General features: G+C 47.8%; 1 protein-coding gene across 3 annotated transcripts in view; it reads right to left on the bottom strand.

Moving 5' to 3' along the window:
- Positions 1-21,163, bottom strand: part of STARD8 (StAR related lipid transfer domain containing 8) — a 78,171-nt gene extending 57,008 nt beyond the window's left edge. For all 3 annotated transcript variants that reach the window (XM_005262314.5, NM_001142503.3, NM_014725.5), the window contains exons 1-2: positions 20,902-21,163; positions 3,297-3,330 (exon numbers count right to left, since the gene is read on the bottom strand). In XM_005262314.5, the coding sequence (XP_005262371.1) occupies positions 3,297-3,330; positions 20,902-20,946 (79 nt within the window). In that variant the 5' untranslated portion in view covers positions 20,947-21,163. The remainder of the gene's footprint in view (positions 1-3,296; positions 3,331-20,901) is intronic.

Genomic DNA, 21,163 nt, shown 5'->3' with positions numbered 1-21,163 from the left:
TAAAGAAAAATATTAAGTACTTAATGGCATGGATGATGTGATGGCAAAAATTCTGAAGTTGGTTCACAAATAAGTGACATTTGGGAAACACTGTGCTAGTGGCTTCTTGGACTGTGATAGCAGGGACTTCAAAGGTAATTCAGGTCATTCTTTTGGGCCTGGGCAGCACCACATGTGTTGAAGCCAGTTGGACATTCCTAATGCTCTCCTATAAGGTGGTACCAAGTGATCCTGTGACAGCCCTTACAAGGTTTCCTCTGTCAGTGGGACCACTAGAACAAAAGCAATGATGTGTCAGATAAATCTTTGCTTGATTCATCCTAATAGAAGGAAGATGAGCTGGGCGTGGCGATGCACCCCTGTAGTCCCAGCTATTGAGGAAGGAGGCTGAAGTGAGAGGATCCCTTAAGCCCAGAAGATTAAGGCCGCAGTGAGCTATGCTGCACCACTGCGCTTCAGCCTGAGTGACAGAGACCGTGTCTCATAGAAAAAAAAAGGAAGGAAGGAAGGAAGGAAAGAAAAAAAGAAGAAAGAAAGAAAGAAAGAAAGAAAGAGAAAGAAAGAAAGAAAGAAAGAAAGAAAGAAAGAAAGAGGAGAAAAAAGAGAAAGAAGAAGGAGGAGGGAAGGAAGGAAGGAAGGGTAGGTAGGAAGGAAGGAGAAAGAGAAGGAGAAAGAAGAAAGAAAGAAAAGAAAGAGAAAGAAAGAAAGAAAGACAGAAAGAAAGAAAGAAAGAAAGAAAGAAAGAAAGAAAGAAAGAAAGAAAGAAAGAAAAGAAAGAGAGAGAAAGAGGGAAATTATTATATACAACTGTCAGCCCAGAGTCAGTATTTTGGCTTTTTTGTCACTAAAAAGTCCCTGGCTGGTCCTCTCCTCTACCACTTCTGTTCTGCTCTGGTCACACTTGGGAGAAATGGCTTAGGAGAATGGGGCAGGCTCAATGTACAGATGAGAACATTGAGGTTCGGAGAGGGGAAGCCTCTTACTTGTTATCATTCCACCACGAGTGGCACAGTCAAGACTGGGTCCCAAAAGAATGCTGATTCTACCACCCCATATTTCCTGCCCCGAGATTCCTGCTCCATGACCCTTTCTGCAGCTCCCCTCAGCCCCACCCCCAGGCCAGTCAGGCAGTGCCAGCCCCCATCGCAGTCCCATCTAGCACAGCTCACTTGATTCAGACCTTCTAAACTCATCGAGGGCCAAGAAGCTGCTAACACTGATCACCTCTAAGAGGACTGCTGGGTGGTTGGGGACTTGGGGTGAGAAGAGACTTTGTATTTTTGTACCTCTTGAATTTTGAAACCTGTGAAGGTATTACCTATTTCTCAAATAATACGTAATAAAACAGATGAAGCGTTCTGCTCACCCCCTGACCTAAATTTCAGAAACAATCACATTTGTTCAGTACTTTGACATTTTTAATGCGCTGTCTATTGTGATCCATACAAGAGTCCCATGCAATAAGCTCCATTTTGTAGATGTAGATGCCAGCCCAGACAGAGGAAGCTACTTTCCTGGGCTCACACAGTGAATCTATAATGAAATTTGGGCTAAAATCCAGGTGCTTTGATTCCCAGTGCCTTGCTGCTACCATTTCCACATCCACATAAACTCATAATTTATGTCAGATTGTTTTTGAATCAGCCTGAAACAATGTGTTCCCATTTGCCTTTAAATAGACATTTTCAAACTTTAACCTAAGAAATAGCAGAAAGACCAGTCCCATCTCAGCTTTGTAGGTGGCAACCTCCTCTGCCTGACCCTACCCAGTAAAAGATAGTCCTGGCTCCTCTGGAAGCCACCCTCCCAGAGCTCAGTGCTGGCACCTCTGCCTGGCACAGATATTCTAAAGAAGTAACTTGGCAGCTGTGGGTGCATTCATCTAAGGGGGTCACTATTTCAGGGCCTGAGGGGTTTCTTTTAGCCTTTGAAGCTGGTGTCTCTGAAATGGAGAAGTGTGTCCTTCCCCTAGTATGGGCAGTGCACAGACCTTGTGCCCTCAGAAGTCTCTGTTGCAAAGCAGAAACTGCGCAGCAAGACGCCTTGGAATGATGATGACGGGGAAAGGCAGGGTGGGGAAGTGGAGAAGCAGATGTATGCTGTATGCTGATCAAAGCAGTGTTCCTGTTTCAAAATAAATCCTCTCTTCTCTGCTGTCATGGCAATGCAAATAAACCCCTCACCTATCAGTTCTTGTTTTGTAGCAGCCACCACCCAAAAACTCAGAGCCGTAAGATGGAAACGTCCTTGGGAAGTCACTAGAATCCTCTCTCTGCATCCTGGCGTGATTCGCCCAAACCAGCTCCAACTACTTTGGAAGGTTCTTATTAGTAAGGGTTCTGGTTGTCTCTTCCAACGTCTTCCCAAGATGCCTTGCACAGGCCCTTAGCATGCCACTTGTTAATAGATGCCTTTCTGTTTTGGCAACCCCAATCCTAACTGTCTCCTAGAAGCTATGCTCATTCAAGTCATGAGCTCATCCTGATGAAAAATTGGAGCCAATGGGAATGGCTGAAGTCAGGCTAGAGCCAGGACGATGGCCTCGATGACCTTAGCAAAGCCCAGCTGATACCAGGAGTTCAGGCTCCAGCACCAAACTCTTCCCTGGCCAGTAGCCTTCTTTCTCTTCCTCCACAAAGCTGTTATCCCTCTCTAGACAACTGTATCCTTCTCAATGGAAGGTAGTTGCTCCCAGTATGCCATCCACTTATCCACACCCAAGTAGGACACCAGAGGCACCAGGAAGATGGGAAGTTGGGCTCACAGAAACTTGTGAGAGAGCAAAAGGAAAAGGCTATATATATCACCTCAGTCTAATGAACTCCAAAGCCTACCTCCTGTTGGAAGCCTTCTAGATAAAGCAAGTGCTGGGAATATAACAGACACTGAACCCCAAATTCCAAGTCTCCTTCCTTTACCCTCCACTTACCTGTTTTCTCTCCTGAGGCATCTCTCACCCCTAATACACTTCCCAGTGGAAAGAAGGCATTTGAGAACAAGGGAAGTATATGGGTGGCTGCCACTTGCTGAAAGCTCTGGAGGGAAGTCCTCCCCTGGCTCTCTGACAAGAGCAAAACCTCCGGCTGAGAAATAAAGAGGCTCTGCACGTGAGCCAAAAAGCAGGGCCCGAGGAGGACAGCAAATGCCCAGTGGAGGGAGACAGAGAGGATGTCTCCGGCTTTTGCATCTCGGCCGTTGGCTCTGCTGCCCAGGGACCTGATCGGTTGCCCCATGAGGACTACTGAGAAGCTCAGTCTCTTTGTATGCCACTTGCAATGCCCACCTCGTGTACTTACCAGCGTTCTTCTTCACCTGCAGCAATGGGAAGCACTGCAAAAGAAACAGAGAAGAAGTCAAGGCATTGCAGAGATGCAATATCTGAACTGAAAGCGATCTTAAAGTTAGCAAGTTCGATCTACCCATTACCCATTTTACAGAAAGACACATGGAGGTCCAAAGAAAAGGAAAATGAAGTAAGGAGCAAAGTGGAGCCCAGACCCAGACTCCTGGCTGCCCACTCCATACAACTGTACTTTCTGCTACCCCATGGCTGATCCTGCTGGTTCACTTCACTCTCCCTGAATGGAGAAGGCCCCCAGGTCAGGGGATTGGAGACACTCTGCCACAGCTCACAGTACTGTTCCGAGGCCTGATAAGAAAGATTATTAAAGAATAAGTCAACATTTGCTTGGCACATACCATCCTTGGTATAGCATCAACAAGGCTAGAAACAGGATGTGTTGGTGGCAAGGGCAGTATTCAGAATTGGAGAACCCAAGTTCAGGGTCACCTTCCCCTGCTTACTGATTATGTGACATTGAACATCACTCATAACCTCTTTAGCCTCAGCATCTGCATTCATAAGACTAGGAAAGCAATAATCCCGACTTCACAGGCTTTGTGACAAATTAACGTACATAAAGGCACTTTTTAAAATGATTAAGCACTCTATAAATTCATGCATTCAACAAATATTTATACAATACCAGTGCCCTTCAGAGCACTATGCTAGATGCTAAGGATATAGCAGTGATCTAGACAGATGAGATCCTTACGCAGCTGAACTCTTAGTAGGAAGAGACAAACAATAAATAAGTAAACAAAGAAATAAGGAAATTTCAGTCATCACTAAGAACCAAGAAGGAGAAACTTTTAAAGACAGGATGAGGTAGAGAGTGATTGAGTGGGGGGATAGAGAGGTGGCCTGAGGGGTCTCTCTAAAGAGCTGAACTTTGAGCAGAGACCCAGATGGCAAGAAGTTGTCAGCAATGTGAAGAGCTAGGTGAAGAGCATTTCAGGCGGATGGTGAAGAGAGAAACGAAGGCCAAATTATGAGAGGCTAAGGCCAGGGTAAGGATTTGGACTTTGATTCAAATTACAGTAGGCAGCCATTGGTGGATATAGAGCAGGAGAATGACAAGATCTGATTTCTACCTTCAAAAGGTCACTCTGGCTGCTGGGTAGGAAGTGGATTGTAGAGCCAGGGTGGAAGTGGGGAGATCTGTTAGGAGGCTTTTGCAGTAGTTCAGGCAAACAATGTCAGTGGCTTGGGCTAAAATGGTAGTTGTAGAGACATTCATTCAATAGTTAAGGAGGAGAGAAAAGAAAGAAGGAAGGAAAGAAGGGTACCTCTTAGAGGTAGAAGGGTCTTCTTGCCTGTTCTCCTTTCACACAGCCAGCCTCTAAACCAACCAAGTGGTTATCAGGAAAATAGTTGCCATAGTATGTGTCTATCTCTTACCCTCTGCACAATGACTGCCATACCAGGTGCAGACACTTGACCACAATGCTTCCTAATCCTAAAAGATTTGTCTCAGCCTTAGATTACCCTAAAATGACTAAAGGTCTGATCCACCCTCGTAGCCCACAATTGGCCACAGGAGAGAGGAGGGATGGGGGATGTCCTCCCGAGTGTTCACTGGCAGGACCCTTGAGGGATGTTAGTGTGAAGGAGATAAAAAGTTCTAGAATGAGATCGGCGTGACCAGAGGAGAAAGACCAATAGCGACAGATATGAAAGTTTGCTACAAAGCTACAAAGTGGAACTATGATTAAGCAAGTCAATATAATTCTCAGTGTAGACAAAGGGGGAGGAAAGAAGAATGAGAAAGGATGAGAGAGTAGAAGAGAAGGACAAAGCAGGCCCCTGTGAGGTCTTAAATGTGACAGTTCTTGGAAATTAAGAGATGAACTGATGGGTGGGACAGACTGTACTCTATGCTCTAGTCCTATTAAATCTCCTACTCCCCCACTCCACCAGCCTAACCCATCATAGTTTTAACAGAATTACAGATAGTTCAGGAGATAAGTAGGCCTTAAATTTAGGGATTTATAGGTTGCAAATGAGTGACCTTCTTTGGCCATTACAACCATCTTGCATGGTAGATTTTATTATCTTCATGTGACACATAAGGCAAATGGGGCACAGAAGTGAAATGATTTGCTCAAGGTCAAGGTAAATGTCAGAACCAAGTCTGTGCTTGAGATCAATAGGGCTCCCAATTTTATGGCACTCTATTTTTTTCTCTCTGAGGTCCAGAATAACCTGGATTGGATCAGGCCCATGAGTCCCACTCTGCTTTTGACCTTAATCTTGATGCTATTTTGGTAGCTGAAAGACTTACAGGGGAAGATAGCATATGAACTTTTGCATCAAAGATTTCTGCTACAAAGTGAAGGCCCTTTTTGTTTCCTTGTTGTAGAACATATCCCTCTGATTTGGAGGTTCTGAACCCAGAGGCCAAGAATCCAAAAGTTATAAAGACAGCCACTCTAGAAGAAGACCAGGATTAGTGGTGACAATCTTCTCATCCAGTGGGTCATTCATTCATATATTCCTTTATTTATTCACTCATTCATTAGGTACCTCCTCAGAGCTAAGTCCTGTGCTAGGTACTCAGGGATTCATATAGATCAGACATATTCCCTGCCCTTGATGAACTCTCAGCTCAGAGGGGGAGTCGATTACATGCACAAATCATCACAATTCAATGTGAGTGCTATTGGAAAGTATAAAGCCTTGTGGAACTGAGCAGAGGGAGTAATTTGTTGCTGGGAGTGGGGGCACATTGTCATAAGGACCCTCATGAAGGAAGTAGTGTTTAGAACAGGTCTTGAAAGCTAAGCAGTTGTTCATCAAGAAGACAAGGGGGCAAAGAGCCTGGCAGGTAGAAGGGAGAGAATAGAAAAGGATGAGGATGTATCAAAGCCTGTGGTTTGTCCCACCCGTCTGTTCATCTCATTTCCCAGAACTGTCACATTTAGGACCTTGGTCTAGCTGGAGAGCAGAGTGCCAGACAGAGAGTGGGAAATGAATCTGAAGCAGCAGGTTAGGGGCCAGATCACGAAGGGCCTTATAGGTCATCTTAAGAACTTGAGACTTTATCTAGAGCCCAATGGAGAGCCATTGAGGGGGCCTAAACAGAGAGGTAACGTAGTCAGATTTATGTTTCGGAATGTTACTCTAACTGTTGAGTGAAGGATGGATTGGGAATGGGGGGCCTAGGCAAAACTAGAGAAGGGGAGACCAGAGGCCCGGCACAGTGGCCTCCCAGCACTTTGGGAGTCCAAGGCGGGTGGATCCCCTGAGGTCGGGAGTTCGAGACCAGCCTGACCAACATAGAAAAACCCTGTCTCTACTAAAAATACAAAAAATTAGCTGGGCGTGGTGGCACATGCCTACAATCCCAGCTACTCAGGAGGCTGAGGCAGGAGAATCACTTGAACCTGGGAGGCGGAGGTTGCAGTGAGCTGAGATCACGCCATGGCACTCCAGCCTGGGCAACAAGAGCGAAACTCCAAAAAGAAAGAAAGAAAGAAAGAAAGAAAGAAAGAAAGAAAGAAAGAAAGAAAGAAAGAGAGAGAGAGAGAGAGAGAGAGAGAGGAAGGAGGGAGGGAGGGAAGGAAGGAAGGAAGGAAGGAAGGAAGGAAGGAAGGAAGGAAGGAAGGAAAAGAAAGAAAGAAGGAAAAACAAAGGGAGACCAGAGTTAGTGGTAAGGTTCTGGGTTGGGCAGTGGTCCTTAGGGTAGGAAGAAGGGGACCAATATATAGACAATTTACATGGTAGAACCAAAGTAAATGATAGGATGTGGGAAGATAAGCGAGGAGTCAAGGATGACCCCAATGTTTCTGGCCTGGCAACTGGGTGGATGGTGGTGCTATTAACTGAAGTCAGGAACAGAGGAAAAAGTTATTTGGGGGTATACGGGGGGAAATCTTCCTGTTGTAATGAATTTCCCCTTAGACCTGTTGAATTCAAAAAAGTCTGTGGAGCATCTGCTCTGAGCAGTCCACTAGGCACTGGGGTAGACCTGCAGATGCAAACATGAACAAAAGCAGATGTGATTCCTGCCCTGGAGGAGCTCTCAGTCTAGTGGGAGATACAGTTGCCAGGCAAAAATAAAAGGCAGATCATGAGTTTTTTCAGAGAAAAGGGAAACACGTTGAAAGAGTGCAAATGCGAAAGCCAGAGCCAAAAGGAGGATAAAAACAGAACGATGGTTGCTGGGTGAGAAGTAGGGAGGTCTGAGAGGTGTAGTTTGGAGACAAGCTGCAAAGGCTATGGACAAGCTTTGTCCAGAACCGGGCCATCCTCAGCCACAAGTGGCTGGGATGGAGCTCACTCTCCCCAGCATCCTCTTCGCTCAGCCTCCAGGCTCTAGGACCAGCCCTTGCCCTGGTATCTGAGGAGATGTCTGGAGAGACTTTTTTTCCTTGCCTTGCCTGGTTTCTCTGCCCCACCTCTCCCTTCCTTCTCTAACCACCTCCAACATCCCCACCCCTCACTCCTAGCCAGTCCTGTGCCATAGACCCAGGCCTAGGACCACAGTCATGAGAGCACGTTCTTCACATTCCAGCCTCCCCCAGCCTTCTCAGCCGGGCCACACAGAGCCCTATTCACAGCTTGGCCCTCCCTTCTTCCAGAGTGGGCTCTCACCGCCCCCAGGCCTATCCTGAGTTTTGCCAGCACAGACCATGGCCACTGTGGAAAGCAGGCTCTCATGAGCCCTCTGGAGCTGACTCCTCTGTCTTGGGGTCTCTCAGCTGGAAGGTGGGTGCAGTGGCTTTGGCCACTTGTACGTACATGGGAGTCCATGTGTGTTCTATGCACTTGGCAAACTTTCTCTAGGCTAGGCCTAGAATAGGGGCTGTTTTGAGCCAGGTTGTCGCAGGACACAGGGGTCAATTAGACACAGGCTGGTTTCTTAGAGCAGCTCACAGTTCAGAGACAGCTGAGTAGAGATGGAGGATGGTATGTGGGCTGAAGCTCAATTGAGCCTGCCACCAGGTCCTAAGTTGGAGCACTGGTGTCACGGTGCCACTTTTAAACCCCATGTCAATGACCTGGAGACATATGCTCATGTTCGGGATGTGATGTCTGCTGGGGATGGGGTGCTACAGCCCTGGAGGATGCCAATCTTGTCCCTGAAAAGGGCAGAGGAGAGCTGGTTTCAAGAAGGACTGACTGACACATTCTGCGCTTGACCCTGTACCTTTGACCAATTCTTTGCTGGGCTTCAGACTTGTTACCAAATGAGAGGTAGGTGCCTGACAATTCTTAGTCTTCTATCACAAAGGAGAGGATGAGGAACAATCCCAGCTGGGAAAGAGCAATGGAAGCAATAAATTCTAGAAGGCTTTTATAGAACTCAGAATCTGGGACAGCCTCCTGAGGAACCCCCAGAACACCTACCTCCCCTCTGTCTCCCCCCAAGGGTGCAAGCTGTCCCACACTGGCTTGGAGTATGTGGGCCTCACAGAAGGCCTCTCAGAAAGCCTGACTTTCCATCTCTATCCACCAGGATGACTGTGATCTAATACCTACTCATCCACCCCCGAAAAGGGCCCCCAACCTATAGCCTAAGGAATGCTGATGGTTTTATAAGTCTCCCCTTGGCAAAAATTCCTACTCCCTCGGACGCTTTTCCCCTTAATTCCTTCCTGCCAGTGCTGCCAGGACATCCTTTCCTCCTGCCCCATCCTGACTCCTCACCTGGCCTGCAGGGCTGCTCCAGGCCTGACTCTTTGCCTTTGAGCCTTTCCCCCAATCTTTCTCCTGCCTTGGGCCCTACAGTCCTCATGTCCACAGCAGGCCAAGAGTAGGGCCAGGGAGGAGAGTCAGCAGCAGCTGCAACCCCCAGGGGTTCTCTGGATAATCTCAGGAATGTAATATCCCAAAGACTTGACTTTCTCACCAGTCAACAGGGACCCTCCTTCCTGCCCAGAACTGCAGAGTCTTTCCGGGAGAGGCGCCCTATAAGGGTGAGTGTAGGAAGGGGCTGGAGGAGAGAGACACGGGGATTCCAGTGTGGGATGGAGCTTCTTTTCCAGACTCTAAACTAGTCTGACCAGGGGTGGGAGCAGGGGCGGGAATAGAAGGAATGAGGAAATTGCTTAAACAACCCACTTCCTGACCCTGAGGGTAGTCGCATCTGTGTTTTCTACTGTCCTTTCACTTCCACAGGATGTCCCCAATTCTAGGCTCTCCTCAGCCAGGGAATGAAGGGAATGGCAGGTAAAAATGTTTCCTCATTTTATAGATGAAAAAACAGAGTCCAAGCTATGGGCCCAGGGTCACCTAGAGCAATCAATCAACTATCTTTACATTCAACTCATATTTACTGAGCACCCATTGTGTGGCAGGCCTTTTCACATAGGTCATCATCACAATCAATTATGAAGTGGGGAATATTCTCCTCATGTTGTAGGTAAGGAAACTGAGGCTTAGAGAAGAGAAGAGGAGGCAGAACCAGGGCTGTTAGATCAGTGTCCTATTTCCATCTATGACATTATATCTTCATACTACATTCTTCTCTCCAGCTCCCAGAAGGCAACCAACCCAAGGTAGAGGAAAGGGCCAGGGAAAGTCAGCCTGCATCCATTTCCAGGGCCTCAACTCCCATTCCCCAAGTGCAGGACTTCCTTTCCCCTGCCCCTTGGCAGCCTCAGCCTTGGAACTGCTGATTGACCTGGACTCTAAGGGCCCTGACAGCAGCAGCAGCAACAGCTCAAGGGCTGCCCAGAGGGATGGAGTTGAGGAGGTCTGTTCCTCCACCCACTGTGAAACCTCTGACCCCAAATCCCAGCAGAGGCTGCCTGAGCTGCTGCTCCTTGTTATTGTTACAAGTGACTTGGAAATGCAGGCCGGGCCCTGGCTCCCAGAGCTTCCCAGGTCCCCAGCTGTTCTCAGGCCCTAGAGGCTGCTGGGAAGACCAAGCTCCAGTGTCGGCTCTTTTCCCTGAGCCTGGGCTCCCCACTCTCCTCCCGAGGGACTTTAGTGGAAATCACTGACATTTGGGAGCAGCATTTTTTTTTCATTTGGCCTGGAAGTTCATAGAAGTATATGTGAAATATAATGAGACTGTCAGAGCTGGAAAGACTCAGAGATAAACCAATCCAGCCTCCTCATTTTATAGGTGGAGAAATGCAGCACAGATTACATGAACATAGTGGACTTTGAAACTAGATTACCTGGGTTAAAAATCCCCAATTCACCACTTAATAGCTGTGTAATCTTGGATAAATTTCTAAACCTTTCTGTGTTTCAGTAAAATGAGGATGATGACAATGATAGCTTGCCTTGCAGGATTATTGTGATGGTGAAATGAGTTAATATATGTGGAGGGTTTCGAACAGTGTACACCACATAGTATGTGCTCTACAAATATTAGCTAGTATCACTTCCTGACCTCTTGGCTAAGATCAAGTGCAAATATTAGCTAGTATTAGTTCTAACTTTCTCTAGTCTTTAGGGGTAAAAGAGAAGTCTGGTATTGCCAATCTGCAGCCTCTTCCAACTCATTTTTGCCTCCCCCAACCTCCACCATAGCCATAGGAAGTATATCCTCCACCCCGCCGGGACCTCCCACTTGTACACCTTTTGGCATCAAAGAAGCTAAAAGCAAAGTAAGAATCTGTATCTGAAGAGACTTAAGTCAGAGTTGAAGCCTTGCTTCCTACTCCCCATCTCACCTTCCCAATGCTCGTCCCCATCTCTTCCACCCCCGAGAACAAATATTATCCAATCTCACATGACTCGAGTAAATCACACCAGTTGTGCTGATGGGGCAAGGGTTAGGAGCTTCGGATCAGGCAAATTTGGCAGAGGGGTCCCCATCCCCATTTCCAGGCTGAGCCTAAGATTGTTCCAGACTTTGCTGTTGCAGGAATTACTCACACTTCAGCATGGCTATCCCTTTGCCTTAAGGACTAGGTGGGATGGCCAATCACAGGTTCTAGATTAACTAAAACTGTTAACGCATTGAACAGTTTCATATACTGAAATTTTCTGGACTAAATCAATCGTGCCCACCAATAGGGCACTTGGGGGTTGAGTGTGAAAAACTCATTTTGTATCCACTAGACAGTAAGCTGCATGAGATGAGGACCTACAGCAGTTTTGCTCACCATTACCTATCTCCTCAAGACCTAACACAGTGTCTGGCACATAGTAGGCCCTGAATAAATATTGCTTGGTTGAACTAGTGAAAGAATGAATTACTTAAGGCTATTCTCAGCCTAAGGAAACTCCCCCACACACACACATTTTGTCCAAGATAACAACAAATAAACATCTCAACAGGCTTTGGGATCATTCTCATTTGATCCTTACTACAGCCCTATAAGGTAGGAGTTATCATTCTCCCCAGTGTACAAATAATAAAGATGAGCAATGCTTACTATGTGCCCCTTTTCTAAGAGCTTTATACATATTAACTCATTTGAGCTTCATAATAACCATGTAAGTTGGGTACTATTATCTACATTTTTTGGAGCAAGAAACTAAGGCTCAGAAAGGCGAAGTAACTTTTTTTCTTTTTTAATTATACTTTTAAGTTCTAGGGTACATGTGCACAATGTGCAGGTTTGTTACATATGTATACATGTGCCATGTTGGTGTGCTGCACCCATTAACTCATCATTTACATTAGGTATATCTCCTAATGCTATCCCTCCCCCCTCCTCCACCCCACAACAGGCCCCGGTCTGTGATGTTCCCCTTCCTGTGTCCAGGTGTTCTCATTGTTCAATTCCCACCCATGAGTGAGAACATGCGGTGTTTGGTTTTTTGTCCTTGAGATAGTTTGCTGAGAATGATGGTTTCCATCTTCATCCATGTCCCTACAAAGGACACGAACTCATCCTTTTTTATGGCTGCATAGTATTCCATGGTGTGTATAGGTGCCACATTGTCTTAATCCAGTCTATCATTGATGGACATTTGGGTTGGTTCCAAGTCTTTGCTATTGTGAATAGTGCCACAATAAACATATGCGTGCATGTGTCTTTATTAGCAGCATGATTTATAATCTTTTGGGTATATACCCAGTAATGGGATGGCTGGGTCAAATGGTATTTCTACTTCTAGATCCTTGAGGAATCGCCACACTGTCTTCCACAATGGCTGAACTAGTTTACAGTCCCACCAACAGTGTAAAAGTGATCCTATTTCTCCACACCCTCTCCTGATGTTGTTTCCTGACTTTTTAATGATCGCCATTCTAACTGGTGTGAGATGGTATCTCACTGTGGTTTTGATTTGCATTTCTCTGATGGCCAGTGATGATGAGCATTTTTTCATGTGTCTTTTGGCGGCATAAATGTCTTCTTTTGAGAAAGGCGAAGTAACTTTCTCATGGTCAACACAGCTAGCAAGTTGTGGCTCAGATAGGTGAAGGGCTTGACTCCATGTAGATGTTTTGGTCTTTTCACTGCATCAAGAACATGAAGTTCAAACTCCCACAGACAAATTTCAAAGTCTCTTGTTCTTCCTCCTCTTCCCATTTCCATTCATTCCCAACACCTCCACTCAGGACAAGTCCCTTGGATCTATGACTCTTCCCTCACATGTCTCCAACCTCACTCTGCCTTGAAAACACTCCTTGCCCTTTTCTTCCAAAGATCATCCCTTCAGATTCAGATTCAATGGAGCATCTACCTTGTAACAGGCTTTTACAGACATCATCTCGCTGGCAACTCCATTAAGTCTTATCCACTGAGGAGAGGTGACAGGCCCAGGAGCACTCAGCCTAGATGTGGCAGAGGTGGACGTAATATCCAGGTCAGTCTCACTCTGTGTCCAGTGCTCCTTTGGCAACACTAAGCTGCCTTCTACTCTGGTCCCAAAAACTGGTCCCAGAAAGCTTCCTAGATCACCCAGAAGCCACCTCACAACTCTCTTGAGCTCCATCTATGCCAATAACCTTACCACAACTTATTATTTTGCTCTAGCCCATGGGCCTGTGCCTCAAAGTTACACAGCATATGTCCAGCATCTAGGCATCTTACAATTAACCATGTCAGGGACAATCCACGGTCTGAATTTTTCACACATATAGGGGGCCAATACCTATCACCCAGCTGACAGGTTATTTGAGTGGGCTGTGGAACTCTGCAGAAAGGGCCCTGCGAGTGAACCTTCCTTCTATGGAGTATAGGCCCTTGCCTTTCCCCCTCTACGTGGTTTTACCATGACCTGAGAGTCTTATGTCATAATTTATTTCTTTGGAACAAGTAATTAAGACGTGGCTGGCTGTATATACTGTCTCATATGTGCACATGTACATTAGTACTTCCACTCACAGACAGACAGACACACACACACACACATCAGACTGACGAAGGGATCTGCAATAGTGTCCTGAGGAAGCGGTGAGCTCCACATCACTGGAGGTGTGCAAGTGTCTGGCCATTCTTTTGGTAAGATGTGATAGAGGCAACTCTGTAGTGATGGCATCGAGGAGTCTCTGAGGTCCCTTTCCAGCCCCAGGAGTTTGTATACATTCATGTGAACCCCTGAATTCTCTATACTCCCCCTGCCCCTTCCACAACAAATACACACTGCATGTGGCAAATTGGACTTACTTGGGATGACAAGGGCAAAGGAATGAAAAAGGAGAGACATCCTGGAGGCTGGGAGTGAAATTGCTGAATCACCCTATCATCGTCACACGTTCACCCCATATCCTGCCAGGCTGCTCCTAGGCAGATTGGGAAGCTGAGAGCTGGCCTGGGGGCAGAGAGGGGCTGGGGTATGGGCAAGCACACATAAGGAGGATGCATGCTCACCTCACTTGCGAGTGTGTGTGTGTGTGTGCATGAATGTGAGCCTGCACAGGGGGTGTGAAACCTCACACCCATATGAACAGGTGCCTGGGAAGCCATGTATAAGAGCAGCCACATGGAAGTCTCATGCATACTTGGATGAGAGCATTCACAGGAGATGGTGCTTGAGAATGTGTGCCTGGGCGAGCTCAGGAAAGCCCTTGTGCACATACACACTCATGTGCATGACCTAAGTATGTGAGTATGGTGCCTAGTGAAAAGCATGGGATCCCATGTTGGCCCACGACTGGGAGGTTCACCTCTATGAGCCTTCCCAGTCCACACGACTGTCTGTCCATGATTTGCTTTAACTCCCATAGAAGCCTTGTGGGTAGGTACGGCAGGGTTGTTAACACATACGTGCATGTATGCATGTGTGTGTGTGGCATGTGTAGAGACATTCCCCCAGTACTGCTTTTAGATTTTACCAGAGACAAGTTGTGTTTGGATTTTGCCACAGAACGAGTAGGGAGATTATGGTGTATTACACAGACCACATTGGAATCCGCTGTGTCCTGATGCCCTCTGAGACCTTGGCCACATCTCTCCCCTCTCTGGGCCTCAGTTTCCTCACTGGTAGTTTGGAGAGAGGAACAGAGAAAGAGGAATAGATGACCTCCAAGGGCCTTTTCATCTCTGATATTGCATGATTATCTACCTATAAGAGGAGGGAACTGAGGGACAGGAGAGAGAATTGACCCTCTCAAGGTCATCCAGAGGTCATGGTTGAGATGGCGCTCCAGGCAGATTTCCCACCTCCCAAGCCAGTGCCCTCTAGGACCTGATATGCCCACCTGAAGCGGAGTAACATGAGGGAGGATTTGTGTTCCGGGCACCCCTTATGTGCATAACACCATGCTAAGTGCTGGAAGGGGGCAAAAGAATACATCAAAGAAATGGTTCTGTATGTATGTGGTGTGTGTGTGTGTATGTGGTGTGTGTGTTTGTGGTATGTGTGATGTGTGGGGTGTGTGTGTGTGTGGCGTGTGGTGTGTGTGTGTGGTGTGGTGTGTGTGGTGTATGTGTGGTGTGGTGTGTGTGTGGTGTGGTGTGTTGGGGGGTGTATGTGGCGTGTATGGTGTGTGTGTGGTGTGTGGGGTGTGTGTGTGTGTGGTGGGGTGTGTGTGCTTGTGTGGTGTGGTGTGTGTGTGGTGTGTGTGTGGTGTATGTGTGCTGTGGTGTGTGTGTGCTGTGGTGTGTGTGGTGTGTGTGGTGTGTATGGTGTGTGTGAGGGGTGTGGGGTGTGTGTGTGGGGTGTGGGGTGTGTGTGTGTGGTGTGAGGTGTATGTGTGGTGTGTGGTGTGTGTGGTGTGGTGTGTGTGGTGTGTGTGGGGTGTGTGTGTGTGGTGTGGTGTGCGTTTGGGGGTGTGTGTGGGGTGTGTGTGGTGTGTGGGGTGTGTGTGTGTGGTGTGTGGTGTGGTGTGTGTGTGGTGTGTGGTGTGTGTGTGGTGTGGTGTGTGGTGTGTGTGGTGTATGTGTGGTGTGTGTGTGTGGTGTGGTGTGTATGTTGTGTGGTGTGGTGTGTGTGTGATGTGTGTGTGCTGTGTTGTGTGTGTGTGGTGTGTGTGTTTGGTGTGGTGTGTGTGGTGTGTGGTGTGTGTGTGGTGTGTGGTGTGTGTGTGTGGTGTGTGTGGTGTGTGGTGTGGTGTGTGTGTGGTGTGTGGTGTGTGTGGTGTGTGATGTGTGTGTGTGGTGTGTGGGGTGTGTGTGTGTGGTGGTGTGTGTGTGGTGTGTGGTGTGTGTGTGGTGTGTGGTGTGTGGTGTGTGTGTGTGGTGTGGTGTGTGTGTGTGGTGTGTGTGATGTGTGTGTGTGGTGTGGTGTGTGTGGTGTGGTGTGTGTGTGTGGGGTGTGGGTGTGTGTGTGTGTGGTGTGGTGTGTGGGGGTGTGTGTGGGGTGTGGGGTGTGTGGGGTGTGTGTGTGGTGTGTGGTGTGTGTGTGTGTGGTGTGTGGGGTGTGTGTGTGGGGGAGTGTGGTGTATGTGTGTGGTGTGTGGTGTGTGTATGGTGTGATGTGTTTGTGGTGTGTGTGTGGTGTGTGTTTCATGTGTGTGGAGTGTGGGGTGTGTGGCTGTGTGTTGCGGGGGAGCGGGTGAGAAACTGACTCATGCATGCTTCGTTGTACCAAGGGGCCATGGATGCCTTCCGGGCCCTGACTGGCCTCCAGGGGAAGACACAGCAAACACGTATTGGACTATTTATACTGGGTTCATCTCACACTTAAACGTCTTGTCCCTTGGCTGCCCCTAACACAAGAGCAGCTCAAAGCAATCCTGAGCCCTGGCCTGGCCTTTTGCCACCTTCCCACCATCCCTGGCTTCTGGGGTGTCAGCCTTCATCTCCCAAATGGATCACTTCTATTCCTAGACCCAGGCATAGTCAAAGTAGAGGGCTGAGGAGTTGTGGCAAAGGAGCAGACTGGACCTGAGACCCTAACCCTGGAATTTTCAAATATAGAATAACCCTCATTCTTTGCTGTGGTGCCTCTAGTACACAGTTTCGGAAGCTGCTTCCAACAAATCATGTGTATTGACCACCTACTCCATGTCAGGCACTTTAAAGACACAGCCTTGCCGAGCGTGGTGACTTACGCCTGTAATTCCCGCACTTTGGGAAGCCAAGGCGGGCTGATCACTTAGGGTTAGGAGCTCGAGACCAGCCTGGCCAACACGGTGAAACCCTGTCTCTACTAAAAATACAAAAAAAAAAAAAAATTAGCTGGGCGTGGTGGCGGGCGCCTGTAATTCCAGCTACTCGGGAGGCTGAGGCAGGAGAATCGCTTGAACCCGGGAGGTGGAGGTTGCAATGAGCAGACACTGCACTCCAGCCTGGGCAACAGAGCGAGACTCGGTCAAAAAAAAAAAAAAAAGACTTAACCCACCCACCAAATGTTCGTGGCATTTCTGTGAGGCGGGCACTGATTAGTGTCATTCTGCAAACAAGGAAATTGAGGCTCGGAGAAGACTTGCTCGAAGGCACACAGCTAGTATGTGTGCCTGTGGGTGTGGGGTGGAATTGAAACCCAAGTTTGTGTGCTTCACCCCTCCTCATACCTCTTCAGCTGATGAAGGGCTCCATATGGTGGGGGAGGGAAGGGGCTCGGTTTCCCTATCAGGACCATGAGAAGTTTGAATAAGATGATCTGAGAGGGCCCTTTCAGCTCTGACAGGATCTGTCCCGGCCATTCCCCACCCCTCAAACCCCTCAGTCTCCCGCACTCAGGGGGCCTGGCTCAGAGAGGGAGGGTGGCTCACAGCAGCCCGTGCCCTTGACTGAGCTCCCGAGCCCAGAGAGCCTGCCTTTCTGACTGGGGCCTCAAAGCAGCAGCATTGGAAAAGGGAGCACGCAGTCCAAGTGTGTGGATCCGGCAGGCTGCCTCTTAGCCCTGAGATCCAGCCATGTGTTGATTCACATCTGCCAAGGACATGAGCAACCACAGACCTGTGCATATGCATGTGCATGCACGTGGACCTTCACGCCGTGTGCATGCTTTTGTATGTCTACAGGCTTTTTGGAGATGTGCCTGGCTGTGTCTCTGTGTGTCCCTCATGCTTGTGCATAGGAGGGTATGTATCTGATGTGCCTGTGTGCTTACCTCTGTATATGCATGCATGCATATGTGTGTGAGTCTACATCATGCTAGGAATGTGCACTGTCTGTGTGTACATGTGCATTTGCCTGTTTGTGCCAGGGTATATGTGTGTTCGTCTCTATGTATGTGTGTATGCACACTTGAATGGTGTGCCTGTGCATATGTGTGTGGGGTTGAATATGCACAAATGCACGTGTATGTCCTCTGTGGACACACTCATAAGTGAATGCGTGCAAACGTCTGGGACCCATGATAGAGATCCTCAACCTTCTCTTGGGGCTGTCCTAGCCCACCAGTTTTGTTTTGTTTTGTTTTGTTTTGTTTTGTTTTGTTTTGTTTTGTTTTGTTTTGTTTGAGACATAGCCTTAGTCTGATGGCCAGGTTGGAGTGCAGTGGTGCGATCATGACTCACTGCAGCCATCCTCCTGCCTCAGCCCCACAAGTAGCTGAGAAAACAGGCATGCATCACCATGCCTGACTAATTTTAAATTTTTTTTTCTAGAGACACAGTCTTACTATGCTGCCCAGGCTGGTCTTGATTTCCTGGACTCAAGTGATCCACCTGCCTCGGCATCCCAAAGTGCTGGGATTACAGGCGTGACACCATACCTATAATTACTATTCCTCCTCCTCCTCCTCCTCCTCCTCCTCCTCCCCTCCTCCTCCTCCCCTCCTCCTCTTCCTCCTCCTCCTCCTCCTCCTTCTTCTTCTTCTATAGGATCTTGCTCTGTAGTCCAGGCTGGAGTGTAGTGGTGCAATCATAGCACACTGCAGCCTTGAACTCCTGGGCTCAAGCAATCCTCCCAATTCAGTCTCCTAAGTAACTGGGACTATAGGTGTCCATTATGCATCACCGTGCCCAGCAAATTTTTTTTATTTTTCATAAAGGGTCTCATTATTGCCCAGGCTGGTCTGGAACTCCTGGCCTCAATCAATCCTCTCGCATTGGCCTCCCAAAATGCTAGAATTATAGGCATGAGCCACTGCTCTTAACCTAGCCCAACAGTTTCCAAGAGGCTGACAGGGGTTAGGACATGTTTTCTGGGCATCTGAGAAGTTGGGGTAATGAGTGCAAAGAGATTTAAATCCATGCCAAGCACCTAGAACAGTTAACTGGGGTAGGGGACAGAGGTGCCTCTCGGGCGTCAAACCTCAAAGGCACTTTAATTTTCCCTTCCCTCGTCATTATCATTCCATCCAGCTCTCTATCATTTCTTCCTCTCCCATCCTTATTTCCACTGCAGCTGCCTCCTTCCTGGCCTCTGCATCTCCACTTGGGCCCTTCCACACCATCCCTGCCCACTACTGCTGGAGTGCTTTTTCTAAAACCGTCCACTTAATTATATCCCTATTATGCTGAAATCAGCCCCTTATTCCCCAAAACAGTAGTCACCAGACTTTCAGATTTCATGGATGAGGAAAGTGTTCTTAAATAAATAAATAGGGAAACAATCAGCATGTCGCAAACTTTGTAATTTTGCTGAGGGCAGACATTTAAAAAATTTCTCACTCATATTTTGTAGGAGAAAGATCATTTGAATCCCCACCCCCACAGGAAGGACACAACAGTCTCCAAATAAAGAATAGTCCTTTGAGTTGAATTAATTTAGTTTTATGAACACTGCACGACATTATCCCTACTTTTCTCTCATTCCACCACAGATGGTTGAAAAATCTCATTCAGGACCCCTACTAGATGAGGACCATGAATCCACAGATTAATTCCAAACCCTTTGGGAAGTAGTCTCTGCTTCCCTTTCTCAAGCTCCTATCCTCTCTAACCCTACATTTGAGCCACATCACGAAAGAAGCCTTTCCCCCAGCCCACTACCATTTGACTGCCTCCAAACTCTAGCTCACGAAGTTCCCTCTGCCAGGCATGCCTGGAATGCCCTTCCCCCACTTTTGGACTGACAAACTCTTCTCTTCCTTTAAGCCTCAGGCTCAGCCCAAATGTGACCTCCTGTGAAACCTCTCCAAGTCCCTCCCGGTGGAATGGATCTTTCCTTCCCAAAGGTCCCAGCATTCTTTCATCCTGTCTTACAGTCAGGCTAGTCGTTTGAAAGTCTTCCTACTGGGTTGGACTGTGGGAAACCACACAGCGTCAAGAAAGGCATGGACTTAGGAGCTCAGATCCCAGCTCTGCCAGTCATATCTGAGCAACCTTGTAAATATTTCTTAACTATTCACAGTGTCTTTTCCCTATCTATAAAAGCAGGAAAACAATGGGTTGTGCTGAGGATCACTGCCACATGAATGAATTAAAAGTGCCTAGGTCTGGTACATAGTGGATACTAAATAAATATTAGTTTCTTGGTTCTTGAGAGTGGAATCATGCTTTACACACACTTGTGGGTTCGGCTGTGCTCATGTATCCCCCATGGCCAGGATATAGTAGACACTCAACAAATATTTACTGACAAACTGACTATTTAGCACAATGTCTGGCATATAGTAGGTGCCTGGTAAATATTTGTCACTTTTCTTATATTCTCTTTGAGGACAAAAGCCATGTCCTTCTTTGTCTTCTTTTAAAAAATGGAGATGGGGGTCTCCTTATGTTGCCTAAGCTGGTCTTGAACCCCTGGCCTCAAGTGATCCTCCCACCTCGGCCTCCCAGAATGCTGGGATTACAGACGTGAGCCACTGTGTCCAGCCCTTTTTTGTCTTTGTGTAGCTCCAGTGGTGCCTAGCACAGAGTATGTGCTTTTATATATATGGATAGAAATTAATAATAATAATAATAATAGATACCATTGTTTGTGTGGATGCTCCACACCAGGCATCCTGCTAGGAAGCTTACACACATTATCTCCTGGATTTGCATACATTTGCTATGTAAACAATAACACCAACCTCATCACCCCGTAAGGTTGGTGTTACTATGGTCCTCATTCTAAAGCTGAGAGGAAACTGAGGTTCAGAGAGGTTAAGTATCTTGCCTTTGTGGCAAGATCCAGGAAGCAACAGAGGCGAGTTTTATTAAAAAGAGCCAACTAGCAGACTTGTTTGTATGGGAATGCAACAGAAGGTCACAGAACTGGTTAAGTGACAAAGGTGAGACTTGAACCCAAGCCTTTCTAACTCCGAGAGCCTCAGGTAGTCTCAGAAGCCCGTCTGGTCCGTTTTCCCAGCTGGTGCGCAGTGGTCCACATCTGCCTCCTTCCCCCCTGAGCAGCGGGATGGGCTGGGGCTGGCCAGTCACTTACCTTCACCTTCCTGAAGCAAGACCAGAAAACGTCCAGCAGAGGCATGGTGGCGCGTGGGGAGCTTCTAGGGCCGGCGGGGCTGTGCCGGGCACCGGCTCCTCCCTCTCTGGGGACGAGGCTAAAAGAGGCCCGGGGCTCGGCGAGAGCCAGCCCGGTCCCTGCGCTCCATGAGCCGGCCCCGCGAGGGGAGAGGCGGAGAGCAGCGGTTGCCGGGGCTCAGCTGCCTCGACAGCGGGCGCCTCCCGCCTCCTGGAAGGCCACC

This window comes from Homo sapiens, chromosome X, assembly GCF_000001405.40.
Source record: "Homo sapiens chromosome X, GRCh38.p14 Primary Assembly".
Classification (NCBI taxonomy): Eukaryota; Metazoa; Chordata; class Mammalia; order Primates; family Hominidae; genus Homo; species Homo sapiens.
This window is presented reverse-complemented; position numbering and strand designations above follow the sequence as displayed.